General features: G+C 40.9%; 1 long non-coding RNA gene across 1 annotated transcript; it reads right to left on the bottom strand.

Moving 5' to 3' along the window:
• Positions 1-582: 582 nt before the first annotated feature.
• On the bottom strand, positions 583-4,315 carry LOC107986979 (uncharacterized). Its single transcript, XR_001746101.1, has 3 exons — positions 4,254-4,315; positions 1,444-1,565; positions 583-853 (listed from the first exon to the last, which is right to left on the bottom strand). It is a non-coding gene; the product is annotated as an uncharacterized LOC107986979 (long non-coding RNA).
• Between the last annotated feature and the right edge of the window lie 11,831 nt (positions 4,316-16,146).

Raw genomic sequence — 16,146 nt, 5'->3', positions numbered from 1 at the left:
TTTTCTTTAAAATAAATTATTGAATGATAGGAAGACCTATCCAGATCTGATGGAAAAGCTGAGCACCTCTTGGAGATGCTCCATATTAGATTTTGAACAGGATGCATTGGGATGTGAAATATCCAGCTTGATTCTCTTGGGAAAGGTATGAGAGTTTTGCTGTGGGCGAGACAAGGGAAACAGATGCTTTGGCAGTGATCAGAAGGGTGGACTGAGAACTGAGAACACTGTCCACCTTTTTCTCTTTTTGGGCACACAGCTAGACTACATTTTACAACTTCCCTGCAACTACACAGAGGTGACATCCAGCCAGTGAAATGTGAGTAGGATTAACTTGCTTAATGCTTAGAACTGACCCATTAAATAACAAATCTCCCATAGATAATTTGTAATTCTCTTTTTCTATTTGTAGCTGTGTGGAAAGACTTCAAAGAACTTAAATGTAGGTGGAGACAAAGATAGAGAAAGACTGGTTTCCAAACATCTTTGAAAATGCAGATTCCTCTTGCTAATCCATACTGAACTCTAATTTATGTTGTACGGTAAAGAAAATACATTTTTCAGATGCAATTCAAGCCTCTAATCGATTGACTTTAACTTAATCAAAAGCGATATTATTCTGGGTGGACATTACCTAGTCATATGATCCCTTTCTGAGTGACTACATGTCATTCTTGGAGCAGAAGACTCTTTCCATTGCTGGCTTTGAAGAAGCAACGTGCCATGAATCCTATAGCCACAGGAAGTTAATTTTCTAACAGTCTGATGGAGCTTGGAAGCAGATTCTTCTCCAGCTGGGCCTCCAGGTGAAGAAAAGTCCTGGTGAACACCTGGATTTCAGCCTGGTGGTACCCTGAGCAGAAGACCCAGTTAAACTCTACCCACACTTCTGAGCTATAGAAATTGTGAGATAATGAATGTATGAAAGCATGCAGTTTTAAGATGCTAAATTTGTGGCTTTTTTTATGCAGCACTAAAAAACTAATGCAGTTACCTTGCCTAATATAAATCTTAATTATTTTCCAAAAAAAAAAAAATCTCATGAGGGTCTTCTTAAAGCAAAGAGTCTTTCCCTTATTTTTTTCATTATTTTCCCTTATTTTCTGATATAACCTCAGAAAAAGTTAAATAGAAAAGAACCCCTGGTGTGTAGCATTTTCTCTTTCACAGCTTTGTCTCTCTTAAATCTAACTGATCTATTGTTGTGCATTACTTTTTAGAATTTTATCATACTGATGAATCACTTGAGATATAATTAACTACACTTTTTCTCTTTATATCAGCTCTCATTTTTACTTATTTAAGTCTATGCAAAGAGTGAGTTAGCTATGATAACACTAGCTGCTATAAGAAATAAATAATCAAATCTCAATGACTTAGCAGAGTAAAAGTTTATTTCTTCTTATGAAACATTCTAAAGATGAATATGCTCCAGCAACTAACCTGTGCAACTGTCTTCACAAGGCATTGATTCAGAACCTTTTTTTTTCTAAGTTTTATATCTCAGTGGTCTTCAACATGCAGTTTCTAAAATAGTCCTGGTGTTCATCTCCATATCATCCAATCTGTGGGTAAAAGAGAATGAAGAATCATACATAGAAAGTTTCTATGTGCTAGGCTTTGAAGTGGTTCCCATTATATCTGTAAACAATTTCATGTACTCTAACTAGTCCTGGAGATATGCCTAATTACAAGGGCTGAGACTGACTTCTCATGGGTTGAGGCCAGGGATGTTGATAATTATTCTCTAAAGCACAGGGCAGGCCCCCGCAGTGAAGAGTTGTCTGGTCCCAAATATCAACAGTGCCAAGACTGAGAAACCCTGGAATAGAGTAAATAGCAACTGATTTGTAAATTCTCATATTATTTATTTATATTGGAAAAACCTGAAGCATATCCTATGTGCCAGTTACTGCTGTATGTTCAGTGATGCAGAAGTGATAAGACAGACAGAGCCCTTTTCCTCATATGTTCTGGCTTATTACATATTAGGCCCTGTTAACCTCCCTGAAATTTATGTTTCTTACCAATGAAGTAAGAGTTAATATAGCTCACAGGGCACATATGGAGTTTAAATGAGACAATGCATGTATAACGGGATGTTAAAATGGAACTCTTCATGCTTCATGAGGCATGAATTCAACAGATGCTACATTCCAAAGTGAACTGGGACAGAACACCATGGAAAAATAACTGGTTGCATAGCTGTCACAAAATGATACTACAAAAGGGTAGACAGAGTAGTGATCCAGGAGTCTGCAAAGGAGACTTCTGGAAAGGACATTGGGGCTGATGCAAGTGTGGAGAGGTAGGAGACTGATAAGTAGACTGTAGCAGTGCAGTGCGGTTTGACATGTGTTCCTGTAGTTGAGGCAGAGGGGCAAGAGTGGGTGCTGATCCATGCCTGAGAGTATTGCCATAACTTTAGGCTGCAGGGTGGAGGGCCGCACCTGGGAAGTAAAGTCAGGTCACTCTCTCTGAGAGCCAAACATACATGGGGCTTTAGGACCAGATGAGGTAGGATGGGAACCCTGGATCCTCTCTAAAGAGGTCCTGCCAGAAAGGGCAGCCTTCCAGGGTGACAAAACCTAGCAGTAATGGGCTGTGTAGGTTTTTGGTATGGCAGAAGCCCAATGGTAATTTGGGAGGAGACAACCAAAGGAGGCCACATCATAGGAATCGCAGTGGTAGAATACCAGAAACTCACAAAAACACTCTCCCAAAAAACCGAAAGGGCAAGCTCTACTCATCTGCCAAATGTGAAAACAACAGATACAAACTTTGTTGTTCACAGTACTTCAACTCTCACCTCTCTGCTTGGAGGGGTCAGAAAACTATTTTATGAGTTTGGGGCCGGGTGCGGTGGCTCACGCTTGTAATCCCAGCACTTTGGTAGGCCGAGGCGGGTGGATCGCAAGGTCAGGAGATCAAGACCATCCTGGCCAACATGGTGAAACCCCATCTCTACTAAAAATACAAAAATTAGCTGGGCGTGGTGGTGCATGCCTGTAATCCCAGCTACTAGGGAGGCTGAGGAAGGAGAATAGCTTGAACCATGGAGTCGGAGGTTGCAGTGAGCTGAGATCATGCCACTGCACTCCAGCTTGGGTGACAGAGCGAGACTCTATCTCAAAAAAAAAAAACAAACAAACAATTTTATAAGTTTGGAGAGAGAAAGACCCAGTGGGGGCGGTTGGGGGGGGGGCGGTGGGGAAGTAGGAGGACATTGCCACCCTCTCTCACTTTAAATGGGCGGTTCAAAGTCAATGCCAGCTTGTAGAGGACAGAAGATTTGAAACTAAATCAAGTTCAGGAAATTAGTCAAGACAGACTAGATAGATGAGATGACAAACTCCACAAAGCCAGTCAATTCACACCACACATCTGCATTTCTCCTCCTATAACATGTCTAAATTTTGTCAGTGGGTATGCATATGTGTTAGGTAGAGGGGTTGGCAGGACTCTGGTTCACAGCTTCCCTTTTTTTTTCATATTCCAATGGCCAGAATTCAACAAGTAGGCAGCAAACCTAATTGCAATGAAAGTTAGGAAATATTATTTTTCTAAGTGCCCAGGATGTAGAGAGTTAGATGAGTGAGCACTTGTAAGCTCCCAGCTTTCCAAGTTAAAATTCACGGAGACTGGACATTTTCAATTGCTGACTTCAGATGGTGTTTGCAAATAAAGTGTAATCAAGGAAGTCAGGGAAAGTCACTAAGGGGAAGCAAAAATATGGCTAGCCCTAAATGGGTTTAAAAGGGTTAGAAGCAAATATAAAGTGGTTTTATTAGACTCCATGAGTCCAACAAGCTTGACTTTCTGGTGACATGAATAAAACACTAAACATGTTAAAACACACATAGTAGGCACTATGGGAGGATTTCCTTCCTGTCTTTCTCTTGTCCATGGGCAAATAAAGTTTCAGTGTCTGCCTGATCCCAGATGTAAAGAAAAATCATATCCAATGCAATTTCATTTTCGTTAACACTTGTCATTTCCTTAGCACCCACTTTAAGCCACATGCTTTGCAATACCACTTTGATTTTCTCTATATGACAATTAGTGGGTGGCCCCATGTTTCTGCAATGGGATGGCGTACGACTATAGAATGTGAGGATACACAAAGTCATAACTTTCTTGATCAATAGTTTTACTCAAATATTGAGCAAGTAACCTCACTTGTAAGAAATAGCAAATATTATATGTATTTTGGAGGACAGAGTGTTTGTGTGTATGTGTGTTTAATTTTTTACCTGGATAAATGTGTCAGAAAATTCTTCTGTTTTCTGAAGAGGAAATCATCTCTGAGTCACTGAAGAAAAAGCAAATTAATCAGTGGATATAGAACATTCTGATGAACACAGATGAAACCCACCCTTTCATGACTATAAGCTAATTCTATACTCTGGGGAGGAATGTTATAAGATTGTTAATATACTGAGGCAAAAAAAAATAAGAGCTGCTTTGAGTCCTATGGATGTGACTCTCTGAGAGAAAAATATCAACAGGAATTTAGGATTTACATAGAGGCATATGTGTGAAACCCATTCAGAGCCAGGATTTGGAGAGCAACCGATGGCTCAGGTAAAGGCATGGTACACAGCTGAAAGTCATGGTGAGAAAGTGAGTCAGCTTCCTCGAACTCCACATCATGGAACACCAACACATTCTCATCAAGGTTACTCACAGCATCATTTGAGACATGGAGAACCAGCTCATTCTAAATCTAGATGACAGTGATAAACTGATTGAACAAAAGTACTCTACTCATTTGAGCATGGAAGGCCATCTGACCCAAAATGCACCCAATATTTGCTTGCATTTTAGATCATTTTCATAGGATATCTTCTGAAAGGGGGATTACTGAATGAACAGTGTCATCATTTAAAAAATAAGCATTTTAAAAGATTAAAATTTTTTAAAACCTGCTTACAAAGAATGTGTGCGTTGACCGGGTGCAGTGGCTCACACCTGCAATCCCAGCACTTTGGGAGGCCGAGGCAGTAGATCATGAGGTCAGGAGATCGAGACCATCCTGGCTAACACGGTGAAACCCCGTCTCTACTAAAAATACAAAAAATTAGTCGGGCGTGGTGGCGGGTGCCTGTAGTCCCAGCTACTGGGGAGGCTGAGGCAGGAGAACGGTGGGAACCCGGGAGGCAGAGCTTCCAATGAGCCAAGATTGCCCCACTCCAGCCTGGGCGACAGAGCGAGACTCCGTCTCAAAAAAAAAAAAAAAAAGAATGTGTGTGGGGATGACAGTAAATGAAATGAATGAAATGCACAGCTCAGTTTTTTTTTGGGTCATTGCTAAACACGTTTTTAGTTATATTATACTTGGTTATATTGCTACACACGATATAACTAAGCATCTTCCATGCTGTCCAGATTTTCTTGTTGAGAACAGGTGGGTGTGTGCAACTCATGGGAGGAATACTGTGGTTTTCTAACTCTTTTTTCTTCTTCTTCTTCTTTTTTTTTTGTTGTTATTGTTGTTGTTTTGTTTGTTTGGTTTTTTTGAGATGGAGTTTCACTCTTGTCGCCCAGGCTGGAGTGCAGTGGCACAATCTCGGCTCACTGCAACCTCCGCCTCCCGTGTTCAAGCAATTGTCCTGCCTCAGTCTCCTGAGTAGCTGCGATTACAAGCACCTGCCACCATGCCCAGCTAATTTTTTTTTGTATTTTTGGTATAGATGGGGTTTCGCCATGTTGGCCAGGCTGGTCTTGAACTCCTGACCTCATGTGATCCACCCACCTTGGCCTCCCAAATTGCTGGGATTACAGGCATGAGCCACCACGCCCGGCCTCTAACTCTTCTTTCTTTGCAGAAAACTCCTGGTCTCTTTTCCTCACTCCCTTTGCCATTCACTTTCCTCCTCTTTCCTCCATGCCCCTGTCCTCCCACACCAGTAATTAGACACAAAGTGCCACCCTCAATCCATCAGCACATTGCACAGAGCTCCTTGGGGGCAGCTCCCTTACATCTCTCTCCCCACATGTAGTTGGTCTCAGCTGAAGAAGAAAAGACATTACTTTAGGTGACCAGGTACAGATACAACTCATATTTCTTCAGGGTTCCAGGGGACCCTCTCAGAAAAAGCAGGAAACTTTACCCTAGTAAATGGATAAAGGGAATATTTGGGAAAAGTGAGAGATTGACCAAAACAAAAAGGAGCTACAAACCTTGGCTCTAGGGCAACCTTGAAGATGAGAATCTGTGCCTTTATCAATATCATTATAGCCAGAATATTAATAGAGCTTCTCCTCTGTGGTAGGGAGTCTATAAACCTTACTTCATTTAATGTCTCCAATGACCTTTTGATGTAGATACTACTATTTAGGATATGCTCACAATAAATTTGAGACCCAGAAAGTTAAGCAAGTTTTGCCAAGGTCAGGCAGCTGTACCTATGTATTAGATTGGTGCAAAAGTAATTGTGGTTTTTGCCATTACTTTTAACGGCATTATGGAACAATGACACAGAGTCTCCCCATCTCCCTGGTTCCCACATCATGACTAGTCTTCTCCCTGGATCTGCTCTATAAGGCACTGGGGTCTGTGTTGCATCCTAGGTCAAAAACTCAGAAACTAGATCCTGGAAACCCTCATTCACTTTCCCACCTTCATGAGCTAGGTTGATGATACCTCTGAGAATCTTTTCTGCCAGAGGAAAGTAATAACTTCTGAGGTTTTCAATAGAATTCATGAAGGAAGATTTTAATTCCAGGTCAAGAAAAACAGTTAGTGTAAAAAGCCCCAAGCAAAGCTAAACTCTAATGATCATCTCTGTACTGATTGCTTTAAATCTTTTCCAAAACGAGGCCAGCTATAAATAAATACATGAATTGATAGCAGCCGTGAAGATAATACAAAACACTAAGAATAGTGAACAGCAATATTTTCTAAACCAATGTCTCATGGGATACTAGCTCAATGAAATTATCCGTTAAAAAAGAGAAAGGATTATATGGTCATGTTGTTTGGTAAATGGTCAGAGCTTAGAAACTGATATTAGCATTATGAAAATTCTCAGAAGTCTGGTAAGACTATAGTTAACTTGGCTTAACCCAGCAATTTCTAAAATCTCTTAGTCACAGAACCAAGTTTTCTGTAGAATGAATGCTCTTAATAACATATACTGTGTTATGTCTGTCCTGCAGAAACTTGTTGATAATGCCAGTCGGGAGACACCTCTATTTCTCTTCCCTGCCCATGGTTCAAACCCCTTTATTTAAGACCTCTAAAACCAGCTACATCTGGCCTACTGATAGAAGACAGGATCAGGGAAGTGCTGGGTGGAGAAGGGTGGGGTCCCTGGCAAGGGCTCCACCCTCAAGCCTGTGCCCACGGATTTAAGTGAGAACAGGCACTCCTGCTTTTGCGTCCAAATGTCGTGTTTTCCAAGACCACTCTGGCCCACCATATCCCCATCCTGTGCCCATAAGAACTCAAGACCCTAGCAGGCACAGACACAAGTGGCTGGACTTCGAGAGGAGCAGAAGAGCACGTCGACAAACACCAGCAGACACTGGCAGGCCATTGATGGCAGGACAAGGAAGAATTCAGCCCAGGAGGTGGGAGGAGGGTCCAGCTGACTCCAGGGGAAGATCATCTTCCCACTCCATTCCCCTTATGGTTCCCTATCCACCTCACTGAGAGCAACCTTCACCACCCAGTAAAACCATGCACCCATCCTCGAAGCCCACATGTGATCTGATTTTTCTGGTACACTGGGGCCAGAAGCCGGGATACGGAAAGCCCTCTGTCCTTGAGATAAGGCAGAGGGTCTAACTGAGCTGCAGACAGCAAAACTGAAAGGGCGCACTGTAACACACACCCACTGGGGCTTTGGGAGCTGTAAACACTCAACCCTAGATGCTGTTGTGGGGTTGGAGCCCAAAAACGCTCCCCACGATCTGCCCATCTGCATGGTCCCCCTAGGGGTTTGAGCAGCAGGGTACTGAAGAAGTGAGCCACATCCCTATCACACATCCTGTGAGGGGGATAAGGGAACATTCCCATTTCACTGCCATCACAGCTAATCAAAGACTGCAATGAGGACAGCATAAATCCAAATCTAGTCTATGGCTCTTCTCTTGGCCACTCCATTTCCTTTTCCTTCACTCTGACTACTCTGACTTCTTGGGTTCTGATTGGGCTTTTTTTTATTGACCTCGCCCTTTGGATTATCTGGATGGAAGCTTGTCCTTTGAGCTCTAAGCCAAGTGGCCTTGATATTTGATCTTGACACTTCTTCTCTGACCTATGAGTTTTCCATTCTAGTATATCTTCCTTCTAACAATTCAACAAATTGTCACTGAAAACCTGCACTGAATGAACCTAAAGGTGAATAGGGCAGACAGGTAAGTTCACAGGGGTTAAGTTTGTAAATTATAGCTGGACAAGCCAGGGCTCATAGGGCAGTGTAGTAAGCATCATGGAAGGGAAATCGCATGCTGATTACAAAGAGCATCTAACCTAGACTTGGAGGTTAAGAGAAGACTCTGAAGAGGACATGGCGTGTCCTCTAGATTATGAGAGTGAATAGCAATGTCTAAGTGAAACAAGCAGAAGCTGAATCCAAGTGCTGCAGGCAGAGGGAACTACGAGGGCTAAAGTCAGGCGCTAAGAGAGAGACGAATCTTAGAGGAAGAAAAATAATTTTCTTCAACTGAAAAATGTGGTTTGAGGAGTTGAGTAGTGAGGCATAAGGTTTGATAGTAAAGGATAGAGAATGTGTGCCCTGGACACACCCATCCAGTCCTAGGACTGGATGCTTGGCCAGGCCTGTCTTCTGGGGCAATCATCACCTGAGAATGTAGTAGAATTATCCAACTCCTGAGCTCCACCAGATGTAGGCAATAATGATCTTTTTCTTCTGATCAGAATCCTGCCCCTCTGTCCAGCTCTTCAGCCAATTGAAGTAAACAACAGATGCATTTCAGAGGCCTCATCCCTACCACTCCAAAGTGAAATAGGATGAGAAGTGTGGAGGCTGAAGCCAGGGTTTCCATATATGTGGGGTCCCTACAGCGAGCATGGCTTTGAGCTCCCTCTCATCTACCATTTCATCTGATTCTGTAAGTGTTAAACCTACATATATAAACACACATATATGAGAATATGGAGCATGAGAGAGATTCAGTAACTCACCTAAGGATATACAGATTCTAAATCATAGTTGGAATCCAAACACTGATCTATTAAAACCTATCATCTTTCTATCAAGCTCAAGCTATCTCACTTCAATGACATGTGGGTTTTCTTGTTGGTTTATTAATAGCAGTGATAGTAACGTAATAGCATCTAACATTGATTAAATGTCTTTTTTTGGACCAGGACCTTTATTAGGTGTTTTGTATTCATCATCTTATTTAAACTTAACAACACTCCATGAAATAAATATTATTGGCTGGACATAGTGGCTCATGGCTGTAATCCCAGCAGGTCGAGGCAGGCTGATCACTTGAGGTCAGGAGTTCAAGACCAACCTGGCCAACATAGTGAAACCCTGTCTCTAGTAAAAATACAAAAACACTTAGACTGGCATGGTGGCATGCACCTGTAGTCCCAGCTACTTGGGAGGTTGAGTCAGGGGAATTGCTTGAACCCGAGAGGCAGAGGTTGCAGTGAACAGAGATCATGCCACTGCACTGCAGCCTGGGTGACAGAGTGAGACTCCATGTCAAAAACTACAAAAATATTGAAAGAAATAAATATTATTATAATTAATTTACTGAGGATAAGTTTAGAAAAGGTGATTTTCCAAGGATAGTGGTTATTACATACAAGAGACAAGGTTAGAATTCAAGTTCTTCTAACTCCAAATCACAAGTTCTTTCCATACCCAAACTGCCTCTAGATTGAATAAAACAATGAACAAATGCATGAACAATAATAATAGTCCTTATACTTATTGAAATGAAATGCATTTAGTGTTCTAACTGAATCAAAGTACCTTTTTATTATTTTTTTAAAATAAATAATCTACCCAGGAAAAGATCTTTGGGGGTATTGTGTACTTGTCTACAAGTGTCTGTTACAGTACTAGAGACACACATGTCAAAGCCTCCTACATCTATCATGGATTTGTTTTATTTTATTTCAAGGTGTATAATAAGCATCCCATTTATTCTAGGCACTTTTGTTGATGACATACTAGTTACCATAAAATCTGAAAAGTAAGATCAATTTTATGAGCAATTAAATGGGGTCTATCCAGAGGTAATTAATTTTATGATAGAGGTTGAACAAGGTGATAGGAGAGCCTGTTTTAGATGCATTGATGATAGGGAGGAATAATGGCTCATCAGTTATGAAATAGTTCCAAATTACCTTGCTTTCAGGTCATTATTTATATTTTAAGTCTGCTGCCCTGTTTGCATCATGAAGGGAGAGCATATTGTTATTCACAGCCTTTTAGGGGAGAGACCTACCTTTGCTCTTGTGAGGGTAATGGAAACTTAGGCTCTTAGAGAAATGGACTTTCCTTTCCTAGAAGACAGGTGTTGTATGATCCACAATGGAAGGAACAATGAGTCCATTTATCAATGAGAAGAGCTGGCACTATTTGAACTCTGGGGAAATTGATAGCAGGCAGATAAGAATCAGGTGTTTGGTTGTTATGCCACTGGTAGAAATAATTAATCCACTCAATCATTTAACAAACACTTATTGAGAATATTTTGTATGTCAGGCACTATGCTAAATATTGCAGATATAAAGTAAAATGAGACACAATTATTGGGGAGCTAGTGGGTCTGTGATGAAAGTTGTTGCTCCTGCCTTGGAATAATTCAAAAATTAAAACAAATTGCTTTTGAATGGACTTTACTGTCTCAAAATCCAGTGGTTACAAAAAGCGTGAGTGATGTGAATCGCCTCCAGGGCTGTGGATAATTCTGTATTCGTCCCTAGAATAGTGTTCCTGCCACAAAGAAAGACAAATTTACTTGTGATTATCAAGGACGAGATATCACAATGAAAAATACTGAAGGACATTCTACTGAACATGGTTTATCAAAGCTTTACTAATCGTTCATATCTTCCTCATGAAGCTTTTGTCTCCCTGAGTTTTCAGAGCACTCACTCTCACTCTCCTTTACTGTGTCTTCTGGCAGAGAATGGGTCTCTGACTCAAAATGACTCAGGGAAACTCCAGTTGTCCTAATTCTAACTTTGCTTTTAGGCAAGAAATTTTGTCTTGATGAGCCTCTCCCCTTCCACCTGCCCAAGAGAAAAATGCAACCCAAATTGCTAAGGGGAAAGCAAATAAATATTTTCCTAGATTGCATAACTAAGAAGTTAAGTGAAAACAGGCTTTAAGCACAGCTGTATTCATATTCACGTATGTCCTGAGGACTCTGTTTCACACTGTCACCATCATGCTCTCATCATTCTTTTGTTTTTCTGTTTTCTTTGTTTATCTCCAGCAGGACTTCTCAGATGATGGTCTCTGGTATCTCTATACTTGCATTGTCCCTATTGCCTAGAAATGTTCCAAAAACATTTCTTGGACTCATGCTAATTAGACAAACTTGGGTTTGATGTGCCACATCAAACTAACCACTCTGATTGACCAGATTTGGGGCAAATTCCCAACCCTGCAAGTAAAGAGTGGAGATTAACTCCATAAAGATCCTATGGACATAGGGAAGGTGGGTTTCTCAAAGGGTATTATGAGTGTTTCCCAATGAAGAAAGCATAATTTACTTAGCAGACACAAAGGGCAGAGACCACTTTACCCACTTTTCACAGCATATTGAGCATTTGAACCTCACCTCATGAAGTAGTTTGGAGAATAAAAATAGATGAGTGCAAAGTATCTTAGTGGGTAGCACAGAGTAGGTGTTCAGAGCCTGATCTCTTTCTTTTCTTTAAAAATAAAATACATTGCTTTCTGCTTTTTTGTCTCCAAACAGGTGGCAGAAGGTTTTCAGTTAGGTAGCAATTTATATTTCCTATCTTTATACAGATGTACCTGTCCTGTAGCCTGTACTCAGTGATAAGTGTAATTTATAAAGGAAAAGTGTTTATGAGAGCACAGAGTGAAATTTCTGGAACTGCGAGTAGATTTCTTGAATAAGATCATTCATGTTGATATGGCAGATATAAATGGTTCTCTTAGTAGCCACATCATCGTCCAAGAAGGGTTCACCTTGGGTTCCAGTTCTCCTGGTAGGCATAATGCTATTAGAAAAAAAAAAAAGGATTCAAAAGTAATGTATGACCCTAGCAAAAATCACATGACACAACTTTCTCAAAGGCCTGACAACCAAACGTTGTGATGGGTAATTACATAGCCTTTAATGTTCTTTCAGCTAGACAAGGAGTTTTACTAGAAGCACATCTTGCCGTGCCTATATATAAATAAAACAAGTTGAATAGAACAGACTGGGGTTAGGATAAAAGAAAAATTCATCTGACTTTCCAGAACAGACGCAGCTGGACTTCGAGATATTTTTTTGTTTGTTTGTTTGTTTGTTTTTTGGTTTGGGTTTGAACATCTAGCCTCCTGGCCTCAGGAACTACTACAAAGACGAAGAACAATTTTGTTTCCGGTAATTGTTTGTGCTACAGTTGGTCAATGTCTACTGATCAGAGTCTTAAATGCAATTGCACAGCCATTTTTTTTAATACCAGATGTTTCAGTAATTTATCTTGCAACCAAGAAGCAGGAGGAATTAATCATGAAGCAGGAGGATAGCAAAATTATTGCTATCCAATCATAGTATTACCCCAATTCCTGACAACAACCCACAACAGAGCAAACTCCCACTTCCATGAACTGTCCCCAAAATCAACTAACATAAGCCCAAATTCTATAGCAAGCTCCTCTCAACATCATCCTAGTGGGAGTCCCCATAGTTCTCCATGGTGTATTAGTCCATTCTCATGCTGCTAATAAAGACATACCTGAAACTGGGTAATTATAAATGGAAGAGGTTTAATGGACTCACAGTTCCACATGACTGGGGAGGCCTCACAATCATGGCAGAAGGCAAGGAGGAGCAAGTCACATCTTACCTGGTGGCAGGGAAGAGAGAAATGAGAGAATCAAGTGAAAGGTGTTTCCTCTTATAAAACCATCAGATCTCGTGAGACTTATTCACTACCACAAGAACAGTATGGGGGGAAACCGCCCCCATGATTCAATTACCTCCCACTGGGCCCCTCTCAGGACATGTGGGAATTGTGGGAGCTACAACTCAAGATGAAATTTGGGTGGGGTCATAGCCAAACCGTATTACATGGCGTGTGGTATCCCTTGCTTCAGCAACTCATAAATATTGTTGGACTGTGTGTTCTTTGTGGTCTTCTGTGTGTTCTTTATGGACACTGACACCCTTATTAGAAGACAGTCAATGTTAGTTTACTGTAGGGAGTTGTTATGAATAAGTTGAATTACATTAATGAGAGCTATTCTTTGAGTTCTGGGCTCCACTCTAACAGGCATGCATATTTGCCAGTCTCCATCCTAGCAGCATCTGTGGTATCTCTAGGATAAATCTGGAATTTGAACTGTGTGTTTCTGGATATATTTATGTTGATAGAACCTAATTTGGGTGAACAGTATGTGTTGTTTTCACAAATAAGGGCAGAATTGTAGGAAGCAACACTGGTCTCAGAAGGAAATCCTTCAGCAGATGGTGAAGAGAGAACCTGCTCCTCTCTTTGTAGGTTGAGACTATCAGGACTTTAAATATCTAGATTCTGGGAAGAAGGTGTTAAGATGTCACCTAACACATAAGAGAGAGTCTACGAATGTCCAGAAAAGTCTATCCCATAAGCCCTAGAAAGCAAGCCATAACTTGAAAACACATTGTGGAATTGTGTATGACTTGATGCATTGGTTTTTTGGTTAACACAGAGGCTTCACCATCTCTAATTTAATGTTTCAGCCTGGTTTCCACTGTGTAAATGATTATATAGAATATACTGACGACCATCCTTCGTCCAGAGCATCAAAGAACAACAACCCTAACCCCATCTCCCACCACATGCCAAAGGCAGTGAGGAGGTGGAGGTAGTAAGAAGCTGCATCCCTCAAATCATGAAATCTTTCAGGGACAACTTTGAGGATTCTGGTTTTATTTGTAAGAGAGACGGCAGTTCTTTTAGTGTCCCTTTGCTGATCATAAAAGGGTTACGCCCTGAGCCCAATAACAACACCTCCCTAGGTAACGTTATAATACTTGGAAACAAAGATGCAGATAAAATAGTGTGTGCTCTGAGAAATTCACAGACAGCCATCCCCAAAAGGAGCCAGTAGTCAGGCAAAAACCCAAGAAAAAATCCAGTTGATATAGTTACACTTTGTATCCCCACCAAAATCTCATCTTGAGTTGTAATCCCCATAATCCTCATAATCCCCACATGTCAAAGGAGAGACCACGTGGAGGTAACTGAATCATGGGGACAGTTACTCTCATGCTGTTCTGGTGGGTCTGAGTTTGTTCTCATGAGATCTGTGGTTTTATAAGGGGCTCTTCCCCCTTCACTTGGCACTTCTCCTTCCTGCCGCCTTGTGAAGAAGGTGCCTTGCTTCTCCCTCTCCTTCCACCATGATTATGAGTTTCCTGAGGCCTCTCCAGCCATGCTGAACTGTGAGTCAATTAAACCTCTTTCCTTTATAAATTACCCAGTCTCAGGCAGTTCTTCATAGCAGAGTGAAAACAGACTAATATGCTGGTAGTTGGGAGAATGTAAGGGCTTACTTTAAAGCAGCTCAATAATACCAGACCCTGCCCACCCAGTCCAGTTTTCACCTGCCTCTCTCATCTTTGGACACTGAAAATCACTGCCTGGATATCCTCTGTCTTGCTGAGAATGAATTTCTCTCTCTGAAAGCATTTTTGTCAGTTCCTTTCCGTGCTAATCTCCCTGCCTGTCATGCATAGGTAATAAGTGATTGTGGAGTTGTGATCTGTGAGTCCAGAAATGTATAATGCAGTTTGAACAAAGAAAATACTGAGACCTATTTGCTACTTACTGGGCAGGATTATGGTGTGCACCAGGAGCTTGAAATATTTAGATGTCTCAGAACTACAAGTGAGGATTCATCAAGGTCAGCAAAGCTTTTCTTCTCACAGAATTAAGTAAAGCAAGCCATAGAATTTTACTTGGGGGCAGTTTCCTTGACAGGATATTAAAATCAGGACCTTGATTGTCTCTGCTGCCCTCTGAAATAATTTTACATATTTTATTTACAGCAGTTTACTGCTGTGGCCAGCCAAAGAGAGCTCAGGGGATATCAGGACAGACTTTGAAAGACATGTCAAATTAGGCTGAATTTGTGCTATCCTGTAAGCATTTGTTGTACACCTACTACCTGTATGTGCCAACTCTTGTGTTTAATCCTGTACAAGACATGAGATGTGTGAACTGCCCTGAAAAGGCAGAGCGAGCTGGTGAAGCCTGTGGTTATTCTTCCTCAATCTTTCCATCCTCCTCACTCTGCACATCTATTTTATCCCAAAGCATGGCAGATTTCATTTATCATGTCCTCTCATTTCTGCCTCACACTCATCCAAGTCTGAAATTAATCACAAATTTGAACTCTTTCCTGTATACTTCTAACACCCTAGTTTTAGCCACCATTCTCTTTCTTTGGGAGAATAGTAAAGTCTTCCCTATGGCCTGTCTGCTGCCACCCTATGACTCTGCAATCCTTAAACCACTTTCCACACAGTAGCCTGACTCAGTTCAATTACAGAAGAGTTTAACTCAAATCACCTTAGTAGTGGTCTGATGAAAGTAGGGAAATTCCCTTTTTAACAAGGTAAATATTATCTACTTCCCTCTCGACTATATCTTACACAGGATATCTGGCACTTGATTTAAAAACAAGAACGTATGAAAAAGGTAGGAAACAGCAACTCATGGCCAAGAGATAAATTAGTCAATTGAAGCAGGCCCCATGTTGGCCATGAAGTTGGAATTACCACCTTGTGACTTTAAAATAAGTGTAAAAAATGTTTTTAAAAATCTAATGAGAAAAGTTGGCATGTGTGAGCAGAGAAATTTCAAAAGAGAATTTCAAAAGAGAGATTAAACTAATAAAAAGAGAAAATGAACTGTTAGAAATTTTTTTAAATGTCATTTCTTAGATTTCAAAGCATTTTGGACACAGCAGAGGAAAGAGT

This window comes from Homo sapiens, chromosome 8 (assembly GCF_000001405.40).
Source record: "Homo sapiens chromosome 8, GRCh38.p14 Primary Assembly".
NCBI classification, from domain to species: Eukaryota; Metazoa; Chordata; class Mammalia; order Primates; family Hominidae; genus Homo; species Homo sapiens.
The sequence above is the reverse complement of the archived record's forward strand: the minus strand, read 5'-3'. Positions and strand labels throughout refer to the sequence as shown.